Below are 14,325 nucleotides of genomic sequence, written 5' to 3' on the forward strand. Positions count from 1 at the left end.
CTTTTTAATGGAGTTGTTCGTTTTTTTCCTGTGAATTTGTTTAAGATTTTACAGTTGCTGCATATTAGATCTTTGCTGAATGTGTACTTCGCAAACATTTTCTCCCATTATGTAGGTTGTCTGTTACCTTGTTGATAGTTTCTTTTGCTGTGCAGAAGCTCTTTAGTTTAATTGAATCCTATTTATCAATTTTGTTTTTGTTGTAATTGCCTTTGTCATCTTCGTCATGGAATCTTTGCCTGTGCCTATGTTGTGAATGGTATTGCCTAGGTTGTCTTCCAGGATTAATATAGGCTTGAGTTTTACATTTAAGTCTTTAATCCACCTTGAGTTAATTTTTGTATATGGTGTACGGAAGGGGTCTAATTTTAATCGTCTGGGTATGGCTAGCCAGTTATCCCAGCACAATTTATTGAATACAGAATGCTTCCCCATTGCTTATTTTTGCAAGATTTGTTGACAATCACACAATTGTATATGTGCAGTCTTAATTCTGTGTTCTCTATTTTGTTCCACTGGTCTATGTGTGTGTTGTAGTACCAGCACCATACTGTTTTGGTTAGCCCTATAGCATAGTTTGAAGAAGGGCAACATGATGCCTCCAGCTTTGTTCTTTTTGCTTAGGATTGCCTTGGCTATTTGGGCTCCTTTTTGGTTCCAACTGAATTTTAAAATAGTTTTTCTCTAGTTCTGTAAAAAATCTTAATGGTAGTTTAATAGGAATAGCATTGAATCTATTAATTGCTTTGGGCAGTATGACCATTTTAACAATGTTGATTCTTCCTATCAAAGAACATGGAATGTTTTTCCATTTGTTTGTGCCATCTTTGATTTCTGTGAAAAGTGGCTTGTAGTTCTCCTGGTAGAGATCTTTCAACTCCCTAGTTAGCTGCATTTCTAAATATCTCATTCTTTTGTGGCAATTGTGAATAAAAGCTCTGACCTGATCTGGTTCTTGGCTTGATAATTATTTTTATATAAGAATGCTAGTGATTTTTGCAAACTAATTTTGCATTCTGAGACTTGCTGAAGTTCTTTATCAGCTTAAGAAGATTTTGAGCTGAGACTAGGGGTTTTCTAGGTATAAAATCATGTCATCTGCACAGGGATAACTTAACTTTCTCTCTTCCTATTTGGATATTCTTTATTTATTTCTCTTGCCTGATTGACCTGGTCAGGACTTCCAATACTATTTTGAATGAGAATGGTAAGAGTGGGCATTCTTGTCTTGGGTCGGTTTTTAAGGGGAATGCTTCTAGGTTAGCTCATTCAATATGATGTTAGCTGTGCATTTGTCATATATGGTTCTTATTACTTTGAGGTATGTTCCTTCAATACATAGTTTATTGAGAGTTTTTAACACAAATGAATGTTGAAGTTAATTGAAAGCCTTTTCTTCATCTATTGAGATAATTATGTGTTTTTTATCTTTAGTTCTATTTATATGATGAAATCACATTTATTGATTTGCACATGTTGAGTCAACCTTGAATCCTGGGATGAAGACTACTTGACATTTCTGGATAAGCTTTTTGATGGGTTGCTGGTTCGGTTTGCCAGTATTTTGTTGAGGGTTTTTGCATCACTGTTCATCAAGGATATTGGCCTGAAGTTTTTGTTGTTGTTGTTGTAGTTGTTGTTGTATCCCTGCCAGGTTTTGGTATCAGGAGGAAATTGGCCTCATAGAATAAGTTAGAGAGGAGTCTCTCCTCCTAATTTTTTAAAAATAGTTTTAGTAGGAATTGTACCAGCTCTTCTTTGTACATCTGGTAAAATTCAGCTGTGAATCCATCTGGTCCTGGGCTTATTTTGGTTGGTAGGCTATTTGTTACTGCCTGTATTTCAGAGCTCATTATTGGTCTGTTCAGGGATTCAATTTCTTCCTGGTTCAGACTTGGGAGCGTGCATGTGTCCAGGAATCTAACCATTTCTTCTAGATGTTTGCAGAGTTGTTCATTATATTCTCTGATGGTTGGTTGTATTTCTGTGGGGTCAGTGGTAATATCCCCCTTGTAGTTTCTGATTGTGTTTATTTAAATCTTCTATATTTTCTTCTTTATTAGTTTAGCTAGTGGTCTATTTTATTAGTTTTTTCAAGAAACAACAGTTTATGTATTAGTTGATCTTTTGAATGGATTTTCATGTCTTAATATCCTTCAGTTCAGATCTGATTTTGCTTATTCCTTGTCTCCTGCTAGCTTTGTGATTTGTTTGCTTTTGGTTCTCCAGTTCCTTTAGTTGTGATGTTATGTTGTAAATTTGAGGTCTTTCTACCTTTTTGATATGGGCATTTAGAGCTATAAATTTCCCTCTTAACACTGCCTTAGCTGTGCTCAGATATTCTGCTATATTGTATCTTTGTTCTCATTGTTTTCAAATAACTTCTTGATTTCTGCCTTCATTTTATTATTTACCCAAATGTAATTCAGGAGCAGGTTATTCAATTTCCATGTAATTGTATCGTTTTGGATGAATTTCTTAATATTGATTTCTAATTTTATTGTTTCTGTGGTCTGAGACACTGTTTGTTATTATTTCATTTCTTTTGAATTTGCTGTGGAGTATTTTACTTCTGATTATGTGATTGATTTCAGAGTAAGTGCCATGTGGTGATGAGAAGAAGGTATATTCTATTGTTTTGGAGTAGAGAGTTCTGTAGGTGTCTTATCAGGTCCATTTGATTTAATGCTGAGTTCAGGTCCTGAATATCTTTGTTAATTTTCTGTCTCTATGATCTGTCTCATATTGTCAGTGGGGTGTTAATGTCTCCCACTATTATTATGTGAAAATATAAGTCTTTTTGAAGGTCTCTAAGAACTTGCTTTCTGAATCTAGGTGCTCCTGTATTTTGGTGTATATATATTTAGGATAGTTAGATCTTGTTGTTGAATTGAACCCTTTACCATTAAGTAATGCCTGCTTTGTATTTTGTTATCTTTATTGGTTTAAACTCCTTTTTTTTTTTCAGAAATTAGATTTCAACCCTTGCTCTTCCTTTTTTCCATTTGCTTGGTAAATTTCCTCAATCCCTTTATTTTGAACCTATGTGTGCTTTGCATGTGAGATGGGTCTATTGAAGACAACATACCATTGGGTCTTGGTTCTTTATCCAGCTTACCACTCTGTGTCTTTTAATTTGGCCATTTAGCCCATTTACATTTAAGATTAGTATTGATATTTGTGAATTTGATTCTGTCATCATGATGTTAATTGGTTATTTTGCAGGCTCACTTATGTAAATGCTTTATAGTGTCACTGGTCTATGTACTTCAGTGTGCTTTAGTAGTGGCTGATAATGGTCTTCTCTATTCATATTTAGTGCTTCTTTCAGGAGCTCTTGTAAGGCAGGTCTGTTGGTAAAAAGTTTCCTCAGCATTTGTTTGTCTGAAAGGGATGTTACTTATCTTTTGCTTATGAAGCTTAGTTTGGCTGGATATAAAATTCTGGGTTGGAATTTCTTCTCTTTAAGAATGTTGAATATTGGTCCCCAATCTCTTCTGCCTTAGGATTTTAGCTGAAAGTTCTGCTATTAGTCTTATAGGCTTCCTTTTGTATGCGATCTGGCCTTTCTCTCTAGCTGCCTTTAACATTTTTTCTTTCAATTTGGCCTTGGAGAAATTGATGATTATGTGCCTTGGGGATGATCTTCTTGTGGAATATCTTACTGGAGTTCCTTGCGTTTCCTGCATTTGAAAGTTAGCCTCCCTAGCTCAGTTGGAATGTCCTCATGGATAATGTATCCTGAAATAAGTATTCCAAGTTGGTTCCATTCTCCCCATCTCTTTCTTGTACACAATCAATTGTACATTTGGTTTCTTTACATAATCCCATATTTCTTGGAGGTTTTGCTCATTCCTTTTTATCTGTTTTCTCTATTCTTGCCTGCCAGTCTTATTTCAGAAAGCCAGTCTTAAAGTTCTGAGATTATTTCCTCCATGTGCTCTATTCTGCTATTAATACTTGTGATTGCATTATGACATTCTTGTAGTGTACATTTTACCTCTATCAGGTCTATCAGGCTGCTCTGCCAAGAATTCACACTCTGTGTGTCAGATTGTTGGAGTGAGCTCATGAGGGGATCTTGGACCTGAGGGATGCAAAGATTCATGGCAGAAGCATGGGTTCCTAGGGTCACGTGTTCACTCACAGCATCCCCGGATGGGAGTGGTTCCCTTGGCTCCCTGTCAGTCCTGGCTGGGTTGTTGTCCTGCCTTGCTTTTCTCCATTTACTGGAGGTCAAGTTGTTTCCTTGATTAGTCCCAATGTGAGAACCTGGATGTTCCAGTTGAAGGTGCTGTATTTACTTGCCCCTTTCATTCCTCCTTTTGAGAGTCATGCACACTAGCTGCCTCTAGTCAGCCATTTTGGCCACTCCTTTCATGTGATTTTATTAACTGCATAAAGAAGAGAATAATTTTTGGATCTATTGCATATATTTACATACATGTATTTAATATATGTGTTAGCTTAAAAATCACACTAAGTTTGGAAAGGAGACTTCAGTTTTTATAAATGGTTACAACCTGCAAGATTGTTATCCCGCAAGCCAGGAAGCACAGGCTCCAACCAAAGCCCAGAAAAAGGCACTTCAAATAGAGGAAGATTGGGGTAGGAGATTTATGCTGAATGAGTTGGCTAAGGATACATATTTAACAAGTTACAGGAGGAGCTATGTATATTCATGAAGGTGATCTTGACACATATGTATTGAACAAACACATATGTAACATACAACTCATGTTCACGTTGGAGCAGAGACTTATCATTAAATATATTACAATTAGGCTGGATATGTCAAAAAAATCATTTCAGAACACATAAGCACTCAAGTGTGCAGCCTCCATAAACTGGGAAGGACTTAAGAACTTTAAGTTCTAGGGTACATGTGCACAACGTGCAGATTTGATACATAGGTATACATGTGCCATGTTGGTTTACTGCACCCATCAACGCATCATTTACATTAGGCATTTCTCCTAATGCTATCCCTCCACCAGCGCCCCCACCCCATGACAGGCCCCAATATGTGATGCTCCCCAACCTGTGTCCAAGTGTTCTCATTGTTCAATTCCCACCTATGATTGAGAACATGCAGTGTTTGGTTTTTCTGTCCTTGCGATAGTTTGCTGAGAATGATGGTTTCCAGCTTCATCCATGTCCCTGCAAAGGACATGAACTCATCCTTTTTTACGGCTGCATAGTATTCCATGGTGTATATGTGCCAGATTTTCTTAATCCAGTCTATCTTCGGTGGACATTTGGGTTGGTTCCAAGTCTTTGCTATTGTGAATAATGCTGCAATAAACATATGTGTGCATGTGTCTTTATAGTAGCATAATTTAGAATCCTTTGGGTATATACCCAGTGATGAGATTTCTGGGTCAAATGGTAATTCTAGTTCTAGATCCTTGAGGAATCACCACACTGTCTTCCACAATGGTTAAACTAATTTACACTGCCACCAACAGTGTAAAAGTATTCCTATTTCTCCACATCCTCTTCAGCATCTGTTGTTTCCTGACTTTTTAATGATCACCATTCTAACTGGTGTGAGATGGTATTTCATTGTGGTTTTGATTTGAATTTCTCTGATGACCAGTGATGATGAGCATTTTTTCTTATGTCTGTTGGCTGCAAAGATGTCTTCTTTTGAGAAGTGTCTGTTCATATCCTTTGCCCACTTTTTGATGAGGTATTTTTTTCTAGTAAATTTGTTTGAGTTATTCGTAGATTCTGGATATTAGCCCTTTGTCAGATGGGTAGATTGCAAAAATTTTCTCCCATTCTGTAGGTTGCCCGATCACTCTGATGGTAGTTTCTTTTGCTGTGCAGAAGCTCTTTAGTTTAATTAGATCCCATTTGTCTATTTTGTCTTTTATTGCCATTGCTTTTCGTGTTTTAGTCATGAAGTCCTTGCCCATACCTATGTCCTGAATGGTATTGCCCAGGTTTTCGTCTATGGTTTTTATGGCTTTAGGTCTTATGTGTAAGTCTTTAATCCACCTTGAATTAATTTTTGTAGAAGATGTAAGGAAGGGATCCAGTTTCAACTTTCTACATATGGCAAGCCAGTTTTCCCAGCACCATTTATTAAATAGGGAATCCTTTCCCCATTGCTTGTTTTTGTCAGGTTTGTCAAAGATTGGATGGTTGTAGATGTGTGGTGTTATTTCTGAGGCCCCTGTTCTGTTCCATTGGTCTATATCTCTGTTTTGCTACGAGTACCATGCTGTTTTGGTTACTGTAACCTTGTAGTATAGGTTGAAGTCAGGTAGCATGATGCCTCCAGCTTTGTTCTTTTTGCTTAGGATTGTCTTGGCAATGCAGTCTCTTTTTTGGTTCCATATGAACTTTAAAGTAGTTTTTTCCAATTCTATGAAGAAAGTCGTTGGTAGCTTGATGGGGATGGCATTGAATCTTAAATTACTTTGGGCAGTATGGCCATTTTCATGATATTGATTCTTCCTATCCATAAGCATGGAATATTCTTCCATTTGTTTGTGTTCCCTTTTATTTCCTTGAGCAGTGTTTTGTAGTTTTCCTTGAAGAGGTCCTTCACATCCCTTGTAAGTTTGATTCCTAAGTATTTTATTCTCTTTGTAGCAATTGTGAATGGGAGCTCACTCATGATTCAGCTCTCTGTTTGTCTGTTAATGGTGTATAAGAATGCTTGTGATTTTTGCACATTGATTTTGTATCCTGAGACTTTGCTGAAGTTGCTTATCAGCTTAAGGAGATTTTGGGCTGAGACAATGGGGTTTTCTAAATATACAATCATGTCATTTGCAAACAGAGACAATTTGACTTCCTCTTTTCCTACCTGAATATCCTTTATTTCTTTCTCTTGCCTGATTGCCCTGCCCAGAACTTCCAACATTATGTTGAATAGGAGTGGTGAGAGAGGGCATCCTTGTCTTATGCTGGTTTTCAAAGGGAATGCTTCCAGCTATTGCCCATTCAGTATGATATTGGCTGTAGGTTTGTCATAAATAGCCCTTATTATTTTGAGATACGTTCCATCAATACCTAGTTTACTGAGTGTTTTTAGCATGAGGGGCTGCTGAATTTTGTCGAAGGCCTTTTCTGCATCTATTGAAATAATCATGTGGTTTTTGTCATTGGTTCTGTTCATGTGATGGGTTACATTTATTGATTTGCGTATGTTGAACCAGTCTTGCATCCCAGGGATGAAGCCAACTTAATCATGGTGGATAAGCTTTTTGATGTGCTGCTGGATTCAGTTTGCCAGTATTTTATTGAGGATTTTCACATTGATGTTCATCAGGGATATTGGTCTAAAATACTCTTTTTTTGTTGGGTCTCTGGCCAGGCTTTGGTATCAGGATGATGTTGGCCTCATAAAATGAGTTAGGGAGGATTCCCTCATTTTCTATTGATTGGAATAGTTTCAGAAGGAATGGTGCCAGCTCCTCTTTATACCTCTGGTAGAATTAGGCTGTGAGTCCAACTGGTCATGGACTTTTTTTGGTTGGTAAGCTATTAATTATTGCCTCAATTTCAGAGCCTGTTATTCATCTGTTCAGAGATTCAACTTCTTCCTAGTTTAGTCTTGTAAAGGTGTATGTGTCCAGAAATTTATCCATTTCTTCTAGATTTTCTAGTTTATTTGCATAGAGGTATTTATAGTATTCTCTGATGGTAGTTTGTATTTCTTTGGGATCAGTGGTGATATCCCCTTTATCTTTTTATTTCATTGATTTGATTCTTCTCTCTTTTCTTTATTAGTCTTGCTAGCAGTCTATCAATTTTGTTGATCTTTTCTAAAAACCAGCTCCTAGATTCATTGATTTTTTGAAGGGTTTTTTGTGTCTCTATCTCTTTCAGTTCTGCTCCGATCTTAGTTATTTCTTGCCTTCTGCTAGCTTTTGAATTTTTTTTCTCTTGCTTCTCTAGTTCTTTTAATTGCGATGTTAGGGTGTCAATTTTAGATCTTTCCTGCTTTCTCTTATGGGCATATAGTGCTATAAACTTCCCTCTAAACACTACTTTAAATGTATGCCAGAGATTCTGGTACATTGTGTCTTTGTCCTCATTGGTTTCAAAGAGGATCTTTATTTCTGTCTTCATTTCATTATTTACCGAGCAGTCATTCAGGAGCAGGTTGTGCAGTTTCCATGTAGTTGAGTGGTTTTGAGTGAGTTTCTTAATCCTGAGTTCTAATTTGAATGCATTGTGGTCTGAGAGATGGCTTGTTGTGATTTCTGTTTTTTATATTTGCTGAGGAGCGCTTTACTTCCAATTATATAGTCAGTTTTAGAATAAGTGTGATGTGGTGCTGAGAAGAATGTATATTCTGTTGATTTTGGGTGGAGAATTCTGTAGATGTCTATTAGGTCTGCTTGTTGCAGAGCTGAGTTCAGGTCCTGGATATCCTTGTTAACCTTCCATCTCGTTGATCTGTCTGATATTGACAGTGGGGTGTTAAAATCTCCCATTATTATTGTGTGAGAGTCTAAATCTCTTTGTAGGTCTCTCAGAACTTGCTTTATGAATCTGGGTGCTCCTGTATTGGGTGCATATATTTTTAGGATAGTTAGCTCTTCTTGTTGAATTGATCCCTTTACCATTATGTAATTCACTTCTTTGTCTCTTTAGATCTTTGTTGGTTTAAAACTGTTTTATCAGAGACTAGGATTGCAGCCCCTGCTTTTTTTTTTTTTTTTTTTTGCTTTCCATTTGCTTGGTAGATATTCCTCCATCCCTTTATTTTGAGCCTATTCGTGTCTTTGCATGTGAGATGGGTCTCCTGAATACAGCACACTGACGGGTCTTGACTCTTTATCCAATTTGCCAGTTGGTGTCTTTTAATTGGGGCATTTAGCCCACTTACATTTACAGTTAATATTGTTATGTGTGAATTTGATCCTGTCATTATGATGTTTGCTGGTTATTTTGCCTGCTAATTGATACAGTTTCTTCATAGCATCAATAGTCTTTATGATTTGGCCTGTTTTGCAGTGGCTGGTACCGGTTGTTTCTTTCCATGTTTAGTGTTTCCTTCAGGAGCTCTTGTAAGGCAGGCCTGGTGTTGACAAAATCTTTTAGCATTGGCTTTTCTGTAAAGGATTTTATTTCTCCTTCACTTATGAAACTTAGTTTGGCTGGATATGAAATTCTGGGTTGAAAATTCTTTTCTTTAAGAATATTGAATATTGGCCCCCACTCTCTTCTGGCTTGCAGGGTTTCTGCTGAGAGACCCACTGTTGGTCTGATGGGCTTCCCTTTGTGGGTAACTCGATCTTTCTCTGTGGCTGCCCTTAACACTTTTTCCTTCATTTCAACCTTGGTGAATCTGACAATTATGTGTCTTGGGGTTGCTCTTCTCGAGGAGTATCTTTGTGGTGTTCTCTGTATTTCCTGAATTTGAATGTTGGCCTGCTTTGCTATGTTGGGGAAGTTCTCCTGGATCATATCCTGAAGAGCTTTTTCCAACTTGGTTCCATTCTCCCCATCATTTTCAGGTACCCCAATCAAATGTAGATTTAGTCTTTTCACATAATCCCATATTTGTTGGAGGCTTTGTTTGTTTCTTTGTACTCTTTTTTCTCTAATCTTGTTTTCTTGCTTTATTTCATTAATTTGATCTTCAATCACTGATACCCTTTCTTCCACTTGATTGAATCAGCTATTGAAGCTTGTGCATGCGTCACGAAGTTCTTGTGCCATGGTTTTCAGCTCCATCAGGTTATTTAAGTTCTTCTCCACACTGTTTATTCTAGTTAGCCATTCATCTAGTCTTTTTTCAAGGTTTTTGGCTTCCTTGTGATGGGTTTGAACATCCTCCTTTAGCTCGGAGATGTTTGTTATTACCAACCTTCTGAAGCCTATTTCTGTCAACTCGTCAAAGTCATTCTCTGTCCAGCTTTGTTCCGTTGCTGGCAAGGAGCTGCAATCCTTTGGAGGAGAAAAGACGCTCTGATTTGTAGAATTTTCAGCTTTTCTGCTCTGGTTTCTCCCCATCTTTGTGGTTTTATCTACCTTTGGTCTTTGATGTTGGTGACCTACAGATGGGGTTTTGGTGTAGATGACCTTTTGTGCTGATGTTGATGCTATTCCTTTCTGCTTGTTTGTTTTCCTTCTAACAGTCTAACAGTCAAGTCCCTCAGCTGCAGGTCTGTTGGAGTTTGCTAGAGTTCCACTACAGCCCCTGTTTGCCTGGGTATCACCAGCAGAGGCTGCAGAACAGTAAATATTGCAGAACAGCAAATACTGCTGCCTGATCCTTCCTCTGGATGCTTCGTCCCAGAGGGACAGCCACTTATATGAATTGTCTGGGAGGTGTCTCCCAGTTAGGCTACACGGAGGTCAGGGACCCTCTTGAGGAGGCAGTCTGTCGGTTCTCAGAGCTCAAACACTGTGCTGGGAGAACCACTGCTCTCTTCAGAGCTGTCAGTCAGGGACATTTAAGTCTACAGAAGTTGTCTGCTGCCTTTTGTTCAGCTACGCCCTGCCCACAGAGGTGGAGTCTAGAGGCAGTAGGCCTTGTTCAGCTGTGGTGGGCTCTGCCCAGTTCGAGCTTCCTGACAACTTTGTTTACCTATTCAAGCCTCAGCAATGGCAGACGCCCCTACCCCAGCCAGGCTGCAGTCTCACTGATTGATCATAGACTGCTGGGCTAGCAGTGAGCAAGACTGCATGGGTGTGGGAGCCACTGAGCCAGGCACGGGAGAGAATCACCTTGTCTGCCAGTTGCTAAGACCTTGGGAAAAGCATAGTATTTGTGTGGGAGTGTCCCATTTTTCCAGGTAGTCTGTCACGGCTTCCCTTGGCTAGGAAAGGGAAATCCCCAGATCCCTTGTGCTTCCTGGGTGAGGCAATGCCCCGCCCTGCTTTGGCTCACCCTCCATGGGCTTCACCCACTGTCCAACCAGTCCCAATGTGATGAACCTGGTACCTCAGGTGGAAATGCAGAAATCACCTCTCTTCTGCATCAATCACGCTGGGAGCTGCAGATTGGAGCTGTTCCTATTTGGCCATCTTCTGTCAGTAGTCTTCTTAACTGGAGAAAGTTAATGAAATCGGTTTCTTGTCCAATCAAAGTTGTAGTTATGGCTGGTGGAACAGGGTTTCAGTTAGTCATCATCTGTGAGGTAGATGATTTGTAATTGTTTTAATATTGCTTATCTTAAGGTCAGTGCTTATTTAGCTGCTAGAAAAAAAAGGAAAAAAAAAAACCTTGTGGCAGATAGAATACAGTTTATTCTTTAAGTGTAGTGCATGACTTAACCCTTGCCTGGTATAGCCTTAGGTCCTGTTTATAATTTTGTATCTTATTGCCACAAAGAGTCTGTTCTGTCAGTCTCATGAGGTTAGTTGTTGTGTCTAAACTGCAAAAGAGAGGGGGCATAATGAGCCTGTCGGACTTTCTGTCCTATCATGGCTGGGAACTTTGTTTTTAAGGTTTTTCTCGATTTATTTGGTGAGGGACTTAGGATTTTATTTTTGGTTTACAATGTTTAATTACTTTAATTAAATGGTGTCCAGAAACAGGCAACTCTAGGAATGTACATGTGCTCTTAATTTACACGTGACTGTGTTTTGTATCATTTGCATAGCTGTATTGGTATAGCTATTAAATTAGCAAATTTACTTCTAAAAACTGCCTATTACTGTTGTTTCTAGTCAACATTCTTATCTTCTAGACAGAAGATAAGAATCTCCTGGATCAAAGACAAAGTCCTCTTTGCTCACTGCACAACAATCAGGCTGAGTGTCAGTATATTTGATTAGGTTCATCTTGCCACTAAATCATACCCAGGGCATGCACAGGCCCAGAGGGAGTTTGTACTTTCAGCAAGCTACATTATAGAAATGGAATATGGAGAATGTCTCTTTTTTATCCTGATGAGACACATTATCTCATCCCTTAAGGTTTATCACTGCAGACACAAATCTGAGAAATGGCTTGGGAAAAGAGGCATCAGGGCCATGAATTCTTGGCTCACTTGGGAAGAATATGCAAGCGTGCTCAGTAGCCATGCTCGGGCCCAACACCTGCTCTCTCAGCATCAAAAAATAGGCGTGACTTTGAAGTCTAGTACCCTTTTAGGAGTTAAGCTGGCATGTCCAGATTTTGTTTTATTTAACTTTTTTCACCTTTTATTTATTGTGCCATATATAAATCTTCCTAGCCACTCCAACCTTTCATATTATTAAAGAAAAAGCATTTAATTTAGTCATTTTAGTGAGTAATTTAAAAATATTAATTACATATAATATAGTTAATTTTAAGGTATTAATTATACTGGCATGATTCTATTATATATTCTGGTTTAATTTTTCCTTCACAAATGAACACTATACCAGTTGGATTATATGTCTACGGGAAAAGAGAATTTGATAAAAAGAATGTTTTACTTTAAAGGATAATTAAAGGAATACATTAATGTGAGATACTTTTCAAATTGGACTGAGAGACACATTAACTTTGTGCTCCACATCAGTGTTTGACAGAGAATTTGAGTCCAATGACAGTAACAGCTGGCCCCTTACTGAGAAGAAAGGTGACAGCTGCCATGCCACTGGGATTGGTAATTTCCATAGAAGATGGTTAGGATGCCAATCTACAAGTTGATTACTTTGGTGAAAATGTATATTTGTTTTCCTCAGTCCTTCAAATAGGCAGTTTACAAAAACTTGTCTTGTATTGATTCCATTGCAGAGAGAGCCATAACCCCATAGGCAAGTGACAGAAAGCCTTGGCTTTCATAGTTGAAAATAATCCTTTCTCTAATTAATACTAGACTATTCCATCCATTTTTAAAAAGCTATTTAATCCTCTACTTAACTATGTTTCCTCAGGGTTTTCTAGCTGCTCGTGTTACATATAATGATGCAACTCTGCTATAAACTTTCATAATGGAGTTCTATAAAGTTGTGAGTGAATACACAATCATAACCATATATCAGTGATGCCTCCACAAACTCATTGTGGTAATCAAAACACCAGTGGGCTATTTTTCACCATGATCTCCTGGGGTTAACACCATTGTGGAATGTCTGTTTTTACACAGTTATTGAGGGGACAAATTAATTTGCAGTTTTCTTCCTTTTTCAATTATCAGAGCCATCTAGATTTACATGAAGTACTGTTTTAAAACTATAGCCTGAAAATAAGTTGAGATTCACCCTACTACCAAGTCTTCTTCCTATAAAACTGTAACTACAATTTTTCCCAAGTGTATCTGAATCTAAAGAATAACTAGAATTATAGTAGATCTGCTTTGAAATTTTGCAACAATTATGAATGCTGTGGTACCCTTGAAACTGGAAAATAGAAACAGCAAACTGTGTTTACTTAATGTAAAAAGCACCAATAGCTATAATTTCAAGAGAAAGACTAAATTGTAAGATAACACATTTTAACTAAGCTAAGGAAAAAAAAAATCAAGGCAGGGGTTTCAACACTGGTCCCCAGTCTAGCAATATTAGCATCTCTCAGCAACTTGTTAGAAATGCAGATTCTCATCAGGCCCCGCACAGACCAATTAAATAAGAAACGTCAGGCCGGTATCTGGCAACCTATGTTTTAACAAGTCTTTATTGTGATGCAAACTAAAATTTGAGAACCATTGGCTTAGAGGTCTTCTTTCAACTCATTGTAGGTGGCTTTAAAAATATAAGGCAGGAGTGCATCAGTCTTTGGTAATCCATGTGTCTTGTAACTTAAGTTCTGAGAAAAAGAAGAGGGTTCATGTGGTCATTTCCAAGGAATCTGAAAGATGAGGTCAGTTTGATCAACCTCACACCAGAGAACGTAAGGCTATGGTAAAATCTCAATACACCTCCAGTTACCATTTTAGTAAGGGGTTGGGGAATAATCGTTGAGCCTGTGTCAGACCTGGAAGTTTTCTCCATGTTCTTTATTTAATTTCATTTTATTGTATCTTGTTTTGTTTCTACTTTAGTTTATCATTTTTCTCATTGAATCTTTTCTTTTAGTAATTGTCACTAAATATCCTCTGGAAAATTACTTGTCACCTTTTGCAGGCTTGGAGTAGAGAAACTACCCAGAACAGAATACATGCTAGCTGACCCCAAAAGGAGAGATCAGGGTGAGTGCCCAGGCTGTGGGACAAAGGGTGAGAGCCAAGGGAGCCATCATACAGCTGCACAATAAAGAGTCACAGTAGAACACCTAAGGATTTGTCTCTTTAATCAGACAAAATGTTGTTACATGGAAATTTACATCTACCACATTTGCTGTTCCCCTAGCCTGAATCAAAATTGTAGAGCAGAATATGAAACTAAATTCTTAGCTGGAAGGCCCTTGACATCACCAATCCAAATTGAGGAAAGCCGAGC

At 38.0% G+C, this 14,325-nt stretch overlaps 1 long non-coding RNA gene across 2 annotated transcripts in view, besides 1 other annotated feature; it reads right to left on the minus strand.

Moving 5' to 3' along the window:
* LOC105379102 (uncharacterized) overlaps nucleotides 1-14,325 on the minus strand; it is a 328,753-nt gene that overhangs the window by 179,822 nt on the left and 134,606 nt on the right. The window lies entirely within an intron of this gene.
* Nucleotides 13,262-13,854: an enhancer, noted in NCBI's record as "NANOG hESC enhancer chr5:101054370-101054962 (GRCh37/hg19 assembly coordinates)". NCBI's record gives its function as "activates a minimal SCP1, AML or CMV promoter by ChIP-STARR-seq in primed H9 embryonic stem cells {active_cell/tissue: H9 hESC(primed)}" and the evidence as "EXISTENCE:reporter gene assay evidence [ECO:0000049][PMID:30033119]".

The sequence above is a fragment of the Homo sapiens genome, chromosome 5, assembly GCF_000001405.40.
Source record: "Homo sapiens chromosome 5, GRCh38.p14 Primary Assembly".
In the NCBI taxonomy this organism is placed as follows: domain Eukaryota; kingdom Metazoa; phylum Chordata; class Mammalia; order Primates; family Hominidae; genus Homo; species Homo sapiens.